The sequence below is a fragment of the Homo sapiens genome, chromosome Y, assembly GCF_000001405.40.
Source record: "Homo sapiens chromosome Y, GRCh38.p14 Primary Assembly".
NCBI classification, from domain to species: domain Eukaryota; kingdom Metazoa; phylum Chordata; class Mammalia; order Primates; family Hominidae; genus Homo; species Homo sapiens.
In genome coordinates, this window is record NC_000024.10 from 25,468,034 (window position 1) to 25,487,448 (window position 19,415).

Here is a 19,415-nt window from a genome sequence, read left to right on the forward strand (position 1 = left end):
TGCTTGTATATGTTTCCTCTCCCTTAAAAATCAGATATTTGTTTGTAATCTGCTTTTTCACTCAACAGTATTGTAGATCCATGTTATAATTTACTCCTCTACATTGCCTTCAGTTATTGTGTGCTTTCTGTTGGATGACTGTACCATGTAGTCAGTCATGTTTTCTGGTACTGAATGCATACGGGTATGTGTGTGTGTGCGTGCACTTGTGTGTGCGTATTTTTTTGTAACTTAACTAATGCTTTAGACATGAGTAGGTAGACCTAAATCCTTGAAACCTTCCACGTGGTGACTTTCAGTTCTCATTGCTGAATTTGTTTCCAGAGATGGAAGAAATTATATTGTATGGGAACTTTTTTTTCTTTTTTTTTTTTTTTTTTGAGATGAAGTCTTGTTCTTGTCGCCCAGGCTGGAGTGCAATGGCGTGATCTCACTGCAACCTCCACCTCCTAGGTTCAAGCAATTCTCCTGCCTCAGCCTCCCGAGTAGCTGAGATTACAGGTGCATGCCACCATGCCTGGCTAATTTTTGTATTTTTAGTAGAGACGGAGTTTCACCATGTTGGCCAGGCTGGTCTTGAACTCCTGACCTCAGGTGATTTGCCCACTTCAGCCTCCCAAAGTGTTGGGAATACAGGTGTGAGCCATTGTGCCCAGCCTTTTTTTCATCTCAGTACCAGCTTTTATTTATCAGATTGGTAAAAATGTTAGAAAGTGTGCAATGAAATGGGCATTCTTACAGTCATGGCAAAAAATATAATTATCTTTGACTTTCTAGAAAGTAGTTTGGATTTCGAGAAACTTGTTTGAATTCTCCCTGTTTAGGCAGGATGAATTCTCACTACCCCAAGGTGGCCAACCTTGTCCCTGTGATTCCATCTCTCCCAGAAAGAGAGGTCTAGTCTCAGGGAAAACCCAGATTTGTTTGGCTTAGCCCACCTGACAGCTAATCACTGGAAATGGGGTGGGCTGGTAGAATCCTTTGGTCAGGCTTTGTGTTGAAAGAGAGGTGGAAAGATGGGAGGGAGGTAGCAAAACTTGCCTCAGTGGAACTATGTAAGTTAATATAGAATGGCAAAGGGATGTTTCTTCCAAGGAAGAGATTCTAGGGAAGGAAGAAAGTGGAGGGGAAGGCAGCAGTTCTCCAAGTTTTTGGGTCAGTATTCCTTTACACTCTTAAAAATACATTGAGGGCCCAAGGAGCTTTGGTTTATGTAGGGTATATCTATTTGTATTTATCACTAGAAATTAAATCAGAAATATTTAAAATATTCTTTAAAAGCTCACCACATATTGTTATAAATGCTTTTATGAAAAGAAAATTTCTAAACCCAAAGTAGTACAGTCTTACATCTTTTGCAAATTTTTTTGATGTTTGATATGTCATTTGCATGATGTTTGACATGTCATTAGCAAATTGATATGTCAGTTTGCTTCTGCATTCAATTTATTGTGTGATATTTTCTTGAAAAAAATGTGAACAAAGGCCAATCTCATACAGATAACCATTTTAGATCATTGTGGATATATATATATTTTTTGAGATGAGGTCTTGTCCTGTTGCCCAGGCTGGAAGGTAGTCGTGTGATCACAGCTCACTGCAGCCTCAGTCTCCGGGGACTCAGGTGATCCTCCCACCTCAGCCTCCAGAGTAGCTGGGACTACAGGTGTGTACCACCACACTTGGCTAACTTTTTGTATTTTTTGTAGAGACAGGGTTTTGCCATGTTGCCTAGGCTTCTTTTTTGATACTCCATCAAATCTTCGTTTTTCTTGAACTTTGGATCTTCCACCCTTGCATGATATTACAACATCGTGCATTGGTTACTTATAAAATAGTGGTTCAATAAGATCTTCTACATATTGATACATTTGATTGTACAGTATCGAAATACATTCATCAATACCACCATCAATCTCATCAGAATACTTTCGGAAAGCAATGGTGGACATAGGTTTTCTAAAATTCTGATTTTTTCTTCAAAAGCTTGAATTTTATTAGTAATTTTGTTATTGAATTTTATTATAGCCTGTCTGTTGTTTTCCTTGAAATGACAGCATCTCATTTTTTGAGAAAATATCTTCCAGAAATGCAAGTTAAAACAACATTTTTTGTCAGTCAGCCTTTCAAGTAAAAATGGTATTCCATTAAAGTGGTTAATTAACTTCATGACTTAGTCACTCAAGTGTTTTTTTTCTCAGGCAGCCTGTAGGAATGCTCATGTATACTTCCCATTTCATCACTTGAAATATTAAAAAGATATACTCAAGGATTTAGATTTAGTAGAATATTCACTGCTTCATCATAGACATTCTTTTTTTTTAAATTTTTGAGATAGGGCCTTGTTCTGTCACCGAGGCTGGAGTGCAGTAGCATGATCACAGCTCACTGCAGCCTCAACTTTCTGGGTTCCGTCAATCCTCCTGCCTCAGCCTTCCAAGACGCTGGGACTACAGGCATGCAGCCACTGTGTTCAGCTAATTTTTGTATTTTTTGTAGAGATGAGGTTTCACCAGGTTGCCCATGCAGGTCTTGAACTCCCAGGCTCAAGTGATCCCCCTGCCTGGGCCTTCCAAAGTGCTGGAATTATAGACATGAGCCAAAATTCCCAACCTTATCATAGACATTCTTAAATGAAACTGACCTTTTGTTGCCCTTCCTTTTTATTTTTATTTCTGGAGACGGAGTTTTGCTCTGTTGCCCAGTCTGGAGTTACATAGGTGCAATTTCAGCTCAAGGCAACCTCTGCCTCCCAGGTTCAAGTGATTCTCCTGCCTCAGCCTCCTAAGTATTTGGGAATACAGGCATGCACCACCACACCGAGCTAATTTTTGTATTTTTAGTAGACATGCGGTTTCACCATGTTGGCCAAGCTGGTCTCAAACTCCTGACCTTAGGTGATCCGTCTACCTCAGCCTCCCAAAGCACTGGGATTACAGACGTAGGCCACCATGCCCCACCCGCCCTTCCTTTTTAAACCTTTCCTGTGCATAGTGAAGAATACCATGACTACTAGTAGTTTGGTGTTACTGCCTTTGTTTGTGCTAAAGTACCAACATTTTTACCCACCATTGTATTTGCACACTTACAGCAAATGTCACCATGTTAGTATTCCTGTCAAAATAGTTTGGACTTGGGGGTCTGAGGGCCGCACTTTGGGAACCATTGAAAAAGGTACTTAGACGTACTAGATATCATATCTTTTCATCTACAAGGTTTTTAAAAACTTGATTTCAGTTAATTTTTTTTTGTAATTTTTAAAATATGGTTTTGAGGGGTTTCAGTCCAGAGCAACAACACATATTTTATTTTGCTTATGCTGAAGTTTACTAGACAAATACTAACCTAACAGAATGAAGTCCTAAATCTAATTGCAATTTCCTTAGCCAAAAGAAAAAAAAAAAAAACAAAATTAAAAGCGTAAAAATAGTCCATATGGTGTATTCTCAGTGTATGCTGAAGAATTTATAGAAGAAAATGCAATACTCAGTAAGTGGTGTTCTTTAAGAATAGGATTGGCTGGGTGTGGTGGCTCATGCCTGTAATCCCAACACTTTGGGAGGCTGAGGTGGGCGGATCATCTGAGATTAGGGGTTCGAGACCAGCCTGACCAACATGGAGAAACCCCATCTCTACTAAAAATACAAAATTAGTGGGGCATGATGGCACATGCCTGTAATCCCAGCTACTCTGGAAGGCTGAGTCAGGAGAATTGCTTGAACCCGGGAGGTGGAGGTTGTGATGAGCTGAGATCGTGCCACTGCACTCCAGCCTGGGCAACAAGAGCGAAACTCGGTCTCAAAAAAAAAAAAAAAAAAAAAAAAAAAAAGAAAAAAAAGAATAGAAGTAATTCTGAAGAGTTTCTTTTAGCCTGTAAAGAGATTTGGAACACAGTAAGAGGGGAATGAGAAGAATGAGAATAGTAAAATAAACCATTATTGAAGAGATATACTGTTAATGATGTCCTCCACCAATACAACTTGTTTTTCTTTTTTTTTTTTTTGTTTTTTGAGATGGAGTCTTGCTCTATCGTCAGCCTGGAGTGCAGTGGACATCTCAGCCCACTGAAACCTCTGCCTCCCAGGTTCAAGTGATTCCTCTGCCTCAGCCTCCTGAGTAGCTGGGACTACAGGCACCCGCCAGTGCGCCCAGCTAATTTTTTTTGTATTTTTTTAGTAGAGATGGGGTTTCTCCGTGTTAGCCAGGACGGTCTCAATCTCCTGACCTCGTGATCCGCCCACCTCGGCCTCCCAAAGTGCTGAGATTAGAGGCGCGAGCCACCGTGCCCGGCCCATCTTGTTTTTCTTAAAAAGGAACCTTCAGTAAATATTTGGTTTCTGTGGCTTCAGCTTTAATTCAGATTACAGTTTTCAAAGCAGTGTTGCCTAAAGTTGTTTGTGCAAAATTGTTTTCTGTGACTTGAACCTAGTTATTCTGAAGCTAATATATAATAATAATGGTTTTTCCCCAATTTATAATAGAGAACAGTACAGAGTAACAGCGGGAATGTCTGTTAGTGGGTGAAAGCACATAATGCATAGTTCATTAGCTTTTTTAAAAAATCACATGTAATTGTGTTACAAAAATATATGTATAGTAATGGCATTTAGTTGGTATTACTTGGTTTGTGTGATAGAATAAAATATTAGAATTTTATGGTGTTTGAGTTAGTTATCTATTGCTCTGTAACAAATTTAGCAGCTTAAAATAACAAACATTATCTCAGTTTCTGTGGGTCAGGATTCTGTCTAGTTTACCTTGGGTTCACTGGCTTGGTCTCTCACCAGGCAGTGAAGATGCTGGTGGTGGCTGTGATCATCCCAAGGCAGGATAGGGAGAGAATCTGTCTCCAAGCTCAGGTTGGCAGGATTCATCTCAGAGGCTGCTGGACTGGGCCTCTGTTTCTAGATGGCTATTGGTCAGAGGCCTTTCACAATACCTTGTCATGTGGGCCTCTCCATAGGGCACCTCATCACATGGCAACTGGCTTCCATCAGAGGGAGCAATGGAAAGAGCAGGAGAAGGGTGACCAAGGCAGGCATCGTAGTCTCTTTGTAGCCTCACCTCAGAAGTGATGTTACTTTTGCTGTATTCTCTTTGTTAGAAGCGAGTCACTAGGTCCAGGGGTGGAATTTTACAAGGGTGTGAATGGCAGGAGGTGATGGTGATCAGGGCCATTTAGAGGCTGCCTACCATTCTTAAAGAAAATTGTTGACTTCTATGAGCTGTGGCAGCAGACAGTGCTATGCAAGGAGAATGGCTGTCTCAGAAGTCCAGCTCCTCACATGGGTTTTAATGTGTTGCCTTTTCCCCCATACATTTTGTTTCAATCCATGGTCATCTTGCCATTTAGTGGTGTGGTTTAATCGCATATTTGGGTTAGTCTGTATGTAAACATTTAACATAGGTGTCTCTGGTTTAAACAGGAATCCTATTCATCTTCTTCACCGATAAGGTCTGTGGACTCTGATGAGCCAAATCTGACATCAGTTCTGGAACGTCTAGAAGATACTAAGGACAACAGCAGTTCGGTGAGGAAAGAAACCAAGCTATTTTCTCTTTTTCTCATAAACATTATATTTAGAAATTAAATGTTAAGTGATAATATTATATAAAAACATGATTAAAAACTATAAACTTAGAGGAATTAAAGTCTGGGTATTTTAAGTCCTCCAAATCTTATTTACTACCTGGTTTCTCTTTATTATTTCCCACTTGTATAATCTTAGTTTAGATTAGCAATTAGGGATCTCTTTTTCCCTGAATTCTAACCATTAAGCCAAGCAAGCATTTTGGGTGGAGACCACTAGCCAAGGTGGGAAGTAGAAAAAAGACCAAGGTGGAAGTGAAGGGAGAGATGGGGAGAATGACACCAGAACTAGTGGGAGGGAATTGCCTTTTCTTTCAAGGGTCTGTAAGTCTGCAGTAAAAGTCAAAGGTATTCAAATAGGAAGTTTTGTTTTTGTGTTTAGTATATAAAGAGGCATAACTTTCCATTTTGCAAAAACTTTAGAAACCTTTTTTCTTGATTATAAAACTTATAAGCAACCGTTATTGAGAAGATTAGTAAAATATAAAAAAAATAATCTCACATAATTTCTCTACCTAATATAACCACTGTTGACATGATAGCTAGTTTCTATCAGTATGTATTGCTTCTTTGTTATCAAAGTACTTATACCCTTACAGATATGTTTAAATAGTTGAGGTCATATTCTATAAATATCTGTAAATAGCTGGGTGCTGTGGCTCACACCTGTAATCCCAGCACTTTGGGAGGCTGAGGCAGGCAGATCACAAGGTCAGGCGTTTGAGACCAGCCTGGCCAATATGGTGAAACCTCATCTCTACTAAAAATACAAAAATTAGACCGATGTGGTGGCAGGTGACTGTAGTCCCAGCTACTCGGCAGGCTGAGGCAGGAGAATTGCTTGAACCCAGGAGGCAGAGGTTTCAGTGAGTCGAGATTGTGCCACTGCACTCCAGCCTGGGCAACAGAGCAAGACTCCATCTAAATAAATAATTTATATATACACACACATACACACACCCTCATATATATATACACATATATGTGTGTGTATATAGACACACACACACACACACATACACCTACACATGGCCGATTGCCTCGCCTCTAGCACTGGGAATCAGTCACCGTGCTGTCCTTGTGGAGTCTTGTGGCCCAACAAGAGGAAGCTCTCCCCTGACATTGCCCCTCCAAAGTGCACCACTTCCAGTGAGCCTCCCTGTCATGCCCGGCCTGTGGACAGCCAGCCCCCGCCATCCCTCCCACCCCCCACCAAGCATGGGGGTGCTGTGTAGGCAGCTGTGTGGCCTGACAGTCTCTACCAGTCCTGCTGTCCCTTGGCTGAGAATCAAACCCATTTCTGGATGACAGGGAATGTGTCCTATGCTGGCTGTGTTCTCTGTGGAGCTCACGGGAGGGAGAAGACCAAGCCATTTCTAGGGTGCTGTCAGGACCAATGAAAAGGTCACACTCTTTCCAAGAGACACTTTTCCTGGAAAGCCTCTGGAGCTTAGCTGGCTCTTATCCTGTGATAAGCCAGAGGCTCTGCGGGGTGAGGGAGCATGAACCCTCTTCACCCCACCCAACGGGGACCTGTATAACTCTGCCAGTCTCTCACTTGGCCTTGCTGCTGTCCTCTGAGACTGCCTATTCCTCCCTCTCTGTGACTCTACACCACCATCACCTCCTCCAGGAAGTCCTCTGGATTGACTCCTAGCTTATTACATCTTTATTGTGCAGACCCTCTCCATTCAAAGCCCCTCTTCAACTGCCCCCCACCGCCCCACCACCTCCAAGACAGAGATTCTGGGTTCCTGCAACTGCAGCCCCTCAGAGAGTGTAAGAGGGTCAGAAAAAGGAGATTAGGAAATGAGGGAAGCAGCGCTGTCAGAGTTTCCAAAGCCCTGGCCAGCAAGGCATCAGAGGCCTCTGTTGGGGTGGGGGCCTCCCTGGCTATGCGCTCCAGCAGCACAAGGCAGCCTCTGTGAGCTTCTCCCGCTTAGCCCTACAGGAAGCAGGAGGGCCCAGCCTCAATGGACTGATTCAGACCCCAGCACTCCAGAAAATACCTCTGCTTCCTGCCACCATTCCACTCTGGCCAAACAGCCTCTACTCTCTTCTGCTGGGAGGGGGCCACAGGCAGGTGGTTCAGTGGTTAGGGCCAACCATCTGCTTCAGTTCCTGTCTGGCCCAGATCCCTGATGTTGACCATGCCTTAGTGGGTGTATGTATACCTTTAGTGCAAGGGTGGTGTGACGGTTAATACTGAGTGTCAACTTGATTCGGTTGAAGGCTGCAAAGTATTGATCTCCTGGGTGTGTCTGTGAGGGCGTTGTAAAAGGAGATTAACATTTGAGCCAGTGGGCTGGGGAAGGCAGACCCACCCTTAATACTGGTGGGCACCATCTTTCTAATCAGTTGCTAGTGAATATAAAGCAGGCAGAAAAACATGAAAAGGCAAGACTGGCCTAGCCTCCCAGCCTTCATCTTTCTCCCACGCTGGACGCTTGCTACCCTCTAGCATCGGACTCCACGTTCTTCAGTTTTGAGACTCAGATTGTCTCTCCTTGCACCTCAAACTTGCAGACAGCCTATTGTGGGACCTTGGGATTGTGTAAGTTAATACTTGATAAACTCCCCTTTATATATCTATATATCTATATTTATATCTATATCTGTCTATATCTCCTATTAGTTCTATCCCTCTAGGGAACCCTGACTAACACAGGTGGGTAGGCACAGGGAGATGTGCCCCCTTCCCTGTGGGTGCTGGGTAGGTAAATGTTTAGCAATGGGCTTTCTTGGGGAGAGGGAACCCTGATTTTCAGTATTTGCCTCTTTTCCTGGTATAAATATTCCCACTGTGGGCAGTATCACATGGCTCTCAAAATTCCTGAAAATTCAACAGTTGGCTCCTGGCCACTGCTGTGAGCCGTTCCAGCTGGTGACTGTGGTGGCTCCATCCTGCAGGGCCATGTGTCCCCACCCCTTGTGCTATGGCCTCCCTCACTTTAGTGTGCTGTGTTTTGCTCTTAGGAATCAATGTCTTTGCAGATAAGGCACCCCAGTAGGTCACCACCTGCAGTTCCCTGGTCTGTCTCTTGCTGGCACCAAGCTGTGCTGTGCCTGCTGAGACTGCTGGGCCACCCCCACACAGATGGTCTGTGGGGCTTGCTTGATTCCCTTAGCTTCCCAGCCAAGGTGCTGGTGTTGCCAGCAGTGCTGGCAGGAGGAGGGGATAACTAGAGGGGATTTAACTCAACCCGAGGGGCTCTTACGGGATCTTTCCTTGATATCCCTCCAGGTGGGGCTGGCTGCCCTTAGGGCATAGAGACCTCCAACTCCTCCAATGGCTGAAGCTACTTCCTCGAGCAGATGGCAGCTGGCTCAGGCTGGCTAGGGACCAGTGCATGTGAGGCCGGTGCTGGATCACCCCATCAAGGCCATCAGCCTGTGCTTGTTCTTGGGGTTTGAGGGAAACCCAACAGGGATGAATCACGGTTTTTAACCTGTGTTTGTCTGCCCCCCAGCCCTGGACAACTGCAGGCAAAGTCAAAGTTATATCTGGCTCTTGTCACCACAAAAGGCATAGACCAGAAATTATGGCAGTGGGTTGGAAGTCAGGGAGGCTAATTTGGGGAAACTGCCTGGAGGAAGCAGCAACTCAAAAGAGGAGGAGTCCCAGTGTGGGACAGAACGGGCCTTGCACAAGAACCACTAACCCCAGGCAAGCCCAGACATGGCCTTCTGCCTGGAGAGGCCATCTTTGGCCTGCCCAGCAGACCCTCAGCCCCTCCTAGGCCCTGTATTCAGCCTCAGACTGAGTGGTGGCCTGGGGAAGTTGGGAGCTCAGCTGTTCTCATCCCTGGTTCCTTGGCCAAGGTGGAAACAATGGGGCCGGATCTGACTGCTCAGTGGGGACTGTGAATAGCTCTCCAGCAGGAAGCAACAGCAGGGGTAATGGAGGAAGTGTGGGCCCACTTTGGTTTGACACTGCATATGGTCCCCATCTGGCCTCAGAGCCTTTACTCCTTGGCAAACTCAGGCCAATAAGCTCCAGCCCCCACCCTCAATGGCAGCTGGAAGAATGGCCTGAGGGAGAAGTGGGGATAGGTGGGCCACACTGACATCACCCCCAGATACCAGCCATGGCCCCAGCCAATGCATGGAGGCGAGGCATGGCACAGCAGTTGCTGCACAGGAGCCCAAGCACAAGGGCACTTAGGAGAAGGAATCTGAGCAGGGATCAATCTGGCCTGGGGGTGATTCTCCAGAAACTCCATTCCTCAGGGCTGTGACCACCAAGCCAGGTGATCAGGCCAGTGATGTTTCCCTTTCAGCCAGGTCGGGGAGCCAGACCTGGGAGGGAGACTCCTCTGGGGCCCAGGGGATGCAAGTCAGAACTGGCAGAGGCCTCTGGCTCCAGGAACCTCCAAGAAGGAGACCTGAGTTGCTGGGAATTTCTGGGTCTGACCTCCTGCAAAGTCAAGGTCTGGGCTGGACACAAGGTGAGGCTGTGCCTTCTGGTGCCAGGACCAAGGAAATGTGGGGATCTGGGCAGTGCTCAGAGACAGCAACATATAGCAGAACCATGAGGGTGCACCAGCACGGACCCCTTTCTGCAACCCACCCATCCCTCCCTGCAGCACCTCGCCTCCTCCAGGCAAGAATCTGAGCCTTGACCACAGCTCCCTCTCTCACACAGCTTCCTTCTTTGGTGAGAACCACCTGGAGGTGACTGTGGCCATGGCTCTGACTGACATAGACCTGCAACTGCAGTTCTCCACGTCCCAACCCGAAGCCCTCCTTCTCCTGGCAGCAGGCCCAGCTGACCACCTCCTGCTGCAGCTCTACTCTGGACACCTGCAGGTGAGTGAGGGTGAGATTCCTTGTCCAGCTTTGAGTGAACCCCAGCTGGCTGTGTGACCTTGTGTAAGTCACCTTTCTTGGGGTTTCAAGTTCTCTACTGTGGGATGGGCAGCAGCAGCTCAGAAATGGTAAATCCTTCATGAACTGGCTCTGCTCACCAGCTCCCTCCAACCATGTTTCCCACCACAAGCCCTCACTGGCCTTTGTGCTCTGACTGCACTGAACTGCTTTCAGTTCCTGGCCATCTTATGGTCACTTGCTGCCAGTCCTTTGGTCATCACACTCCTCCTGCCAGGTGTGTGCCCCACCCATTCCCTGCACCTGCCTAACTCTAGCCTCTCCTTGAAGTTTCAGTGTGGGCATCCCCTCCTCCTGGGCAAGGCCCCCTCCTGGGCCCCCATGACCCCTGTGCTTCCCGGTGGCACTGCACCAATTTCTCTGCAGCACCACTGTCTGTCCATGACAGTAACAGCACCAGTACTGCCTCAGCTTCATTTTTCCATTTCATCCTTCAAGACACCACAAGCTTTATTATCAAGGAGTCTTGTGGCTCCTTCTTGAGTCTTCCCCCATACCATAAAGAGTTTAAGAACCCAGGGTCTTAGTGCAAATTTGGGGCAAGCTGGGTGCAGTGGCTCATGCCTATAATCCCACCACTTTGGGAGACCAAGGTGGGAAGATCACTTGAGCCTAGGAGTTCAAGACTGGCCTGAGCCACACAATGAGACTCCATATCTATTTTAGAAAGAAAAAAAAAATTAACAAATTTGGGGCAGCCATCTCCTTCCGCACCCCAGTGGGAAGAGGACTAGGGCTTGGTCAGTCTGCTGCTGTCATTGCTGCTCACTGCCACAAGTGTCACTGTTGAACACCTATGTGGTGCAGTCTGGCACTGATGGCTGTTGAGCTCTGTGGGTACAGTGGTGCCACATCCCTACAGAGATGCACCATACCAGGATTCCAAGATCATGGTTCTTAGTGTTCTGGTTCTGCAGTTCCCGTACTCTGCCATCACCTATTCTAGCACCTGGGAGCACCACACCAGAGCCATTTCTTGTGTCAATGTCATGGTGACAGAACTATGTCCTTCATCTCTCCTTGAGATCTTCCTCCCCCACAGGACAGGGAGCTTTTTTTTCAGAACACAGAGCATCTGCCTGGGTTCCCTATCCCTGAACAGTTAGCCTGGCTTCCTTCAGTGACCTCAAGAAACTTTGCCAAACTTAGGGGGACTGATCAAGGGATTCTCAGTTACCCATTATTCCAGGGGTGAAATCTAGATTCCAAGACAATATTTCTGGTGCTTCTCTCTCAAGGAAAGAGGAGGAGAATTTAAAAATACAGGTTGGGTTTCTAGAAGAGCATCTTGCTATATGTCAGTTCATTGTGGGCAAGGACCACATCTGATTCACATCAGGGTCCCCAGAGCCCATCCAGGCCTGGCCCAGAGTTTCCTTTGGTGAGTGTTTGGAGGATGAATAAAGAGATGGCAGGAAGGCAAGAGGAGTGGCACCAGAGGCCCTTGTCCTAGGTTTTCTGCTCTGGGGACCCAACTGTGGGGAACCCACTGTGCTTTTATAAGGGAAATGATGGATTCAAAGTGCTGCCCCCCATCTCCCATTCCCTGTCTCTCCTCAGGTCAGGGTTGTCCTGGGCCAGGAGGAGCTGAGGCTGCAGATCCCAGCAGAAATGCTGCTGAGTGACTCCATCCCCTACACTACAGTTCTGACTGTCTCAGAGGGCTGGCCCACATTGTCAGTCAATGGGTTTCTGAATGCCTCCTCTGTAGTCCTGGGAGCCCCCCTAGAGGTCCCCTATGGGCTCTTTGTTGGGAACACTGGGAGCCTTGGCCTGCCCTACCTGAGGGGAACCAGCCATCCCCTGAGGGGTTGCCTCCATGCAGCCACTCTCAATGGCCACAGCCTCCTCCGGCCTCTGACCCCCGATATGCATGAGGGCTGTGCTGAAGAGTTTTCCACCAGTGACGATGTGGCCCTGGGCTTCTCTGGGCCCCACTCTCTGGCTGCCTTCCCTGCCTGGGGCACTCAGAACAAAGGAACCCTGGAGTTGGCACTCACCACACAGATCTGGCAGGCACCCTTGACCTTCCAGGCAGCGGGCTGGCATGGGGACTTCATCCATGTGGACATATTTGAGGGCCACCTGTGGTTCATGGTCGAGAAGGGCCAGGGTACTGTATTGCTCCTCAACAGTGTGCTTGTGGCTGACGTGCAGACCCTCAAGGTCAGCATCCACATCAACACTCACCAGCTAGAAATCTCCATGGACCAGTACCCCACACGTACTTTGAACCGAGGAGTCCTCAGCTGCCTGGAGCCATGTGACAGTCTCCTTCTTGGGGAGCTGGTTGCAGAGGCCTCTCATCCCCTCCAGGAACACCACTGAGGCCTGACACCAGGGGCCGCCAATGCCTCCCTGCTGGGCTGGCTGTATGGAAGACCTCAGTGTCAATGGCCAGAGGTGGGGGCTTCGGGAAGCCTTGCTGACACACAACATGGCGGCAGGCTGCAGACTGGAGGAGGTGGAGGAGTATGAGGACAATACCTATGGCCATTATGAAGCTTTCTCCACCCTGGCCCCCAGGGCTTGGCTGTCCATGGATCTAGCTGAGCCATGCATGCTTGAGCCAGGGCTGCCTCCTGTCTTTACCAATTTCACCCAGCTGCTGACTATCAGCCCAGTGGTGGTGACCGAGGGTGGCACAGCCGAGTGGTGGCATGTGCAGCCCATGCTGGCCCTGATGGAGGCTGAACTGCATAAATCCCAGGTGCTGTTCAGCGTGACCTGAGGGGCACACTACAGTGAACTCGAGCTGGACATCCTGGGTGCCCAGGCATGAGAAATGTTCACCCTCCTGGACATGGTGAACTGCAAGGCCTGCTTCATCCATGATGGCCCTGGTGCTGGAGGTGTTGGTGATGGCTTGGGTGCCCATGCCTTCATGCCTGCGGAGGGGCCAAACTGACCTCCTGCCCATCCAGGTCAACCCTGTCAATGACCCACCCCGTATCATCTTCCCATGTGGCAGCCTTATGGTGATCCTGGAACACACACAGAAGCCTCTGGGGCCTGAGGTTTTCCAGGCCTATGACCTGGACTCTGCCTGTGAGGGCCTCACCTTCCAGCTCCTTGGCACCTCCTCTGGCCTCCCTGTGGAGCACTGAGACCAGGCTGGGGAGCCGGTGACCCAGTTCTCCTGCTGGGAGTTGGAGGCCGACAGCCTAGTCTATGTCCACTGCAGTGGCCCTGCATAGGACTTGACGTTCCGGGTCAGCAATGGACTGCAGGCCAGCCCCCCGTCCATGCTGAAGGTGGTGGCCATCCAGCCGGCCATACAGATCCACTGCAGCACAGGGCTGCATCTGGCCCAGGACTCTGCCATGCCCATCTTGCCTACCAACCTGTCGGTGGAGACCAGCACCGTGGGGCAGGATGTGACTGTGTTGTTCTGTGTCACCAGAGGCCTGCAGTTCAGGGAGGTGCAGAAGCAGGGGGCTGGTGGGGTGGAGGGTGCTGAGTGGTGGGCCACACAGTCATTCCACCAGCAGGATGTGGAGCAGGGCCACATGAGGTACCTGAGCACTAACCCACAGCACTATGCCGAGGACACCGTGAAGAACCTGGATCTGCAGGTGCAGGTGAGCTGGGAAATCCTGAGCAATCTGTCCTTCCTAGTGACCATCCAGAGAGCCACTGTGTGGATGCTGCAGCTGCGGCCACTGCACACTCAACACCCAGCAGAGGCCCTCACCACAGCCCACCTGGAGGCCACCCTGGAAGAGGCAGGCCCAAGCCCCCCAACCTTCCACTCTGAGGTGGTTCAGGCTCCCAGGAAAGGCAACCTTCAACTACAGGGCACGACACTGTCAGATGGTCAGGGCTTCACCCAGGATGATGTACAGGCTGGAGAGGTGACCTATAGGGCCATGGCACATGCCTCAGTGGCAGTGGAGGACACCTTCTGTTTCCATGTCACAGCTCCACTATATTTCTCCCCACTCTGTACTTTCTCCATCCATACTGGCGGTGACCCAGACATGCCTGTCCTCACCAATGTCCTCTTGGTGCCCGAGGGTGGTGGGTGTGTCCTCTCTGCTGACCAGCTCTTCGTCAAGAGCCTCAACAGTGCCAGGTACCTCTATGAGGCCATGTAGTGGCCCCGCCATGGGAGGTTGACTTGGTGTGGGGCACAGGACAAGACCACTATGGTGACTTCCTTCACCAATGGAGATCTGTTGCATGGCCAGCCGGTCTAGCAGCATGATGACTCCAAGATCACGGAAGATGATATGCCATTTGCTGCTGCCACCAGGACCAGAGCAGTGGTGATGTGGCCTGGGAGGAGGTACGGGGTGTCTTCTGAGTGGCCATCCAGACTGTGAATGACCACGCCCCTGTGCAGAGCATCAGCTGCGTCTTCCATGTGGCCTGGGGTAGGTGGCAGCTGCTGACTCCACACAACATGGCCTTCAGCAATGCTGATTCAGGCTTTGTGGATGCCCAGCTGGTGCTGACCCACAAGGACCTCCTGTCTGGCAGTATCATGGCCACGGATGAGCCCATGCAGCCCATCTTCTGCTTCATCCAGGAGGGGCCTCAGGAAGAGGCGAGTCCTGTTCACGCACTCAGGCTGACCATGGCTGGATCCTGCTGCATGTGTCCGACAGGCAGCACCAGGCCATCTTGGTGCTGGAGGTGCAGGCCTTGGAGCCTTACCTCTATGTGGCCAATGGCTCCGGCCTCAAGGTCCCTCAAGGAGACCAGGGTACCATCAATATGGCCGAGCTCCACCTGGGCACCAACCTCGACATCCGCAGTGGGGATGAGGTCCACTACCACATCACAGACAGCCCTTGCTGGGGACAGTTGCTCCAGGCCACTCAGCCAGCACAGCCTTCGCCCAGAAGGACCTGCTGGTTGGGGCCGTTCTCTTTGGCCACAATGGCAGCCTCAGCTCCCGCAACACCCTGGCCTTCTCAATGGATGTGGGGCCTTCTCAATGGATGTGGGGCCTTCTCAATGGATGTGGGGCCAGTGCACACAGACAGTGCACACGGTGCACTCTACAAGTGACCATTGCCCTAGAGGGCCCACTAGCCCCACTGAAGCTGGCCTGGCACAAGAAGATCTACATCTTCCTGGGAGAGGCAGCTGAGATCAGAAGGGACCAGCTGGAGGTGAGGAGCTGGGGGTGGTGAGTGGGGGTGTGGACCAGGTAGAGGGCCTTCCTCCCAGCCTCCCTGCCGGGAACACATGTGACTTGGGCTGTGCCTGTGGTGGTCCCAGGTTGCGTGTGTGCACGTGCCTCAGATGTGCTCCCATATATGTTGTGTTCCCAAGAGTTTCTGGGGAGCTTGCTGTACACCCATCCTCCGGGGAGTTGTGTGTGCCTCTAGAGGTGGTGCCCACTCATGTCCATGGCATGGCTGAGCATGCAGATTCCTGGACCCCACCCAGCCCTACAGAATCTCTGAAGTGGAGCCCGAGAATCTGCATTGCAGTCAGTTCCCTGGGAAGGCATCACGGGTCCTGAACTTTTGGGATTGCTGGCCGTGGAGACAGGCCACTGCCCCTCAGACCCCTGTGTACCCTGCTTTTTTCTCAGAGCCCAGACCAGGACTAGGAGGGTCTGTCAAGGGCTTCTGCTCATCCAGGAACCCCACAGAACCCCACAGACCAGCCACAGGCCTTCCAGAGATCTCACTGACATGCCCTGTGACCTCAGGCCAGTCCTTGCCCACTCTCAGCCTTACTCTCCCACACTGCTCATTTCGGAGACCCTTCTGGTCTGCATCTGAGCGTGGGGCCCACGGTGAGCCAGCAGATCTGGCATCAGGAAGGTCTCATGGGAGGAGGCAGTGTTTGGGCTGGGCTCTGAAGAGCACAGGCCATCTGGAGCAGGGAATGGGGAGTGGTATTCCAGGCAAAAGGAACATTCCTGGCAAAGGCACAGAACAGGAATGTGAGTTTGGGGGCAGTTCACAGGGGAGGACCTGGTGAACTTCACTCAGGGAGAGGTAAGGGCCCCACTCTGCAGTCACCACTCAGATGCGCCCAGCCTCAGGTGGCCACTGTGCTATGGACATCATGTGGACATGGGCACCAGCTCCAGCATCACTGTCAGCAGACACTCCCGGGCCTGCCATGGTCCAGGGCCCTGGTGTCCTGCCCTCCAGGAGTCATCAGGCTGGTGGGGCAAGTTCATGTTCCCAGAAGGAGGGAGAAGGATGCAGGAAGTTGGGGATACAGGTCCCTAGAGCAGGGCTGGGGTCTTGGGGTGTGGCTTCCAGAAGGAAGCTACAGCTGGACCCAAGGGTCTAGAGAGGGAGCACCATGTAGGGGCACTAGTGGCACCCCAGTAGCTGGTGAGGGGCAGTGCTTGGTGGGGGATGGAGTCAGAGGTGAAGCAGCTGCTGGGGCCTGTGGGCAGAGGTGTGAGCCTGGGGCTCAGATCAGGTGCCAGCCAGAGGCAGAGTGGATCCTAGGAGCAGATGAGCTGATGAAAGGCAGCTGAGTCAGCCAAAAGGGGGAAGCCACTGTTCATCTGTCCTGGTGGCTTCAGGGAAGAACTAGAGCTCTCAGCCATGGGTAGTGGCAGACTCTGTGTGGTAATTGTGCCATGGGGACCAGCCCAGTCATTGTTTAAATGAACACCTCTCCCCAAAGGCAGAACGGGAGTTGTTCCATAGCAGGGCAGAGCAGGGCAGACTCTTTGTGGGCCGTCCTGGGCAGGCAGCACACCTGATGCTCCCACCAGGAGACTGCGTGAGCATCTGGACCCAGCACATGATCACAGTGAGTTCTGGGTAGGGAGTGGTCTTGTGGGGCGCAGAGCTGACTCTGTCATTCAGGAGCCACGGCACGCAGCACTGCCTCAAGTACCTCCAGAGGGGTCCCACTGCCAGCCCTTGAAAATGGCAGAGCCCACACCTAGCCCCCTTTTCAAGCTCCCTTGCTTGGGCAAGGACCTCCTGAGCCTGGCAGTCTCCCTCCTGAGAGGTGCAGATGGTACTCAGCAAGTGCAAAGCCAAGGTTTCTTGGGCCTCTCACATCAGTACCTCCCAGACCTGGGTTCTTTATTTCCCCAGAGCTCCACTCCTGCTATGGCACCCTCCCCACAATGAGATATTCATCAGGCTGGTGTCTACAGCTGCTGCATACCCTCAGTTGCTGGGATCCTTTGTCAAGAATGCCCAGGAATGAGGAGGGCATGGGACCAGACCATCAGCAACCCTCTTGCACTCTATAGTCCCACGTTACTCAGAGCTTCCCCATGCCCCAGCAAGATGGACTAGATTGAATGGTCACCAGGGGTCCAGGCTGGCAGTGCCACCCAGGAAAGCCGGGAAGAGGCTACATGGGCTACCTGGCCCACTCAGGGAGGAGGAGGGCAGGACTGGGTATTGTCTTGACAGCAGCCCTGTCCCACAACACTGAACTGGGCTGGGAAGGGGTCAGGTGTCCTTTTTCAGGTAAGAAAACTGAAGCTCCTGGAGGGCAGGTAACTGTATTCAGAGCACATGGCGAGTAAGAGGCAAAACTTCTGCTGGCAAGTCCAGGATTTCTGTCACCAGAGGACACTGCTTGCTCCCCAGAGCTCAGGACCCTGTGTTTTGTCTCACTCCCACTCCTGGAGGCCGAGACGGGAGGATCACTTGAGCCCAGGAGTTCGAGACCAGCCTGGGCAACATAGTGAGACCTTGTCTCCACACAAAAATTTTACAAATAGCTGGGCTTGGTGGTGGCACGTGCCTGTAGTCCTAGCTACGTGAGAGGCTGATGTTGGAGGATTGCTTTGAGCCCAGGAGGTGGAGGCTGCAGTGAGCAGTGATCACTGTACTCCATCCTGGTGACAGAGCGAGACCCTATCACTGCCCCCTGCCCTGCCAAAAAGAAAACTGAGTAGACAGGTGTCTTCTTGGCATGATAGGTCCTAAGTCCCCTCCCAGATCTGTGACATTGGACAGGTGTCTTTTCCTCTCGACCTCAGTGTCCCCATCTGAGTGAGAAAAGGCGGTGGGGAGGGGGATCTTCCAGTTGAAGCGGTATAGAAGCCCGTGTAAAAAGCCATACTCCAAGGGGCTCCAAGTCCAGCACACAGTCCCAGCAGGGCCCAGCAAGGCAGCCAGGGTGGCACAGGCAGCAGGTCCCAACCTTCTTCCCTGTTTGTCCACTCTCAGACCACGGAGTTCATCATCTCGGAGCCGCTGGCCAATCTGTACTCATGTGGGGACCAGAACACACTGATGGAGGAGTTGGCAAAGCAGGCACAGCAGCGCGACAAGATGCTGTGCATGCACCACGCGCTGAAGGAGGCAAATGACATCAACAGGTGACATCAACAGGACCACCGTCAGCATGCCCATGCCCCCGCCTGTGGATGACACCTGGCTGCAGGTGCAGAGTGTCCCTGAGGAACACAGGTACCAGGGACTGGCCCCCATAGCCCCAAAGTCCCCCATCCGGGCCACACAGAGGAGTGCCCAGGGCTTAGTGGCACGCTCCCTCATGGGGTGGTTCCCACCTGGAGTAAGGGGTGGAGCTGGGATGTTCTCACCACTGGGGGCGGGGCTTAAGCTCCGGCGACTGTCTCTGGGGGTGGCCGGGGCTGGGGCGGGGCCTCAGGGGGGCAGAGCCGCCCATCTCTCCCCTCCCTGTGCCTTGCAGGTCACCCAAGTCCAGCCCCAGGATGCCCAGACCCTGCCATGTCCCTAGCCCGGCCTGGGTGGCGGGCCCAGCTCTTGGGCTTCCTCTTGCCAGGTCCACCCTTGGGGAAGCGTGCCCTGTACCCTCCAGGCTAGAGGCTTCCCCTGATCCCTTCGGCCCCTACCCCACCAGGTGCACTCATGCCCCACCCGGGGTCTCCAGGTGAGTAGGGGCTGAATGCGACCAAAGAGGCTGCCGGATGGGCGTGGCCGGGATGGAAATGGGACTGGATTCCAGAGCATCAGACCTGGCCGCCTCCATCCAAGGCACTGGGACCATGGGTGCCAGA

At 51.0% G+C, this 19,415-nt stretch overlaps 3 pseudogenes across 1 annotated transcript; all 3 read left to right on the forward strand.

Moving 5' to 3' along the window:
* CSPG4P4Y (CSPG4 pseudogene 4 Y-linked) lies at nucleotides 10,231-15,598 on the forward strand (annotated as a pseudogene).
* On the forward strand, nucleotides 14,875-18,672 carry CSPG4P1Y (CSPG4 pseudogene 1 Y-linked; annotated as a pseudogene). The gene is made up of 2 exons (NR_001554.2): nucleotides 14,875-15,597; nucleotides 18,601-18,672. The product of NR_001554.2 is annotated as a CSPG4 pseudogene 1 Y-linked (transcript).
* Nucleotides 18,495-19,194, forward strand: DNM1P48 (dynamin 1 pseudogene 48; annotated as a pseudogene).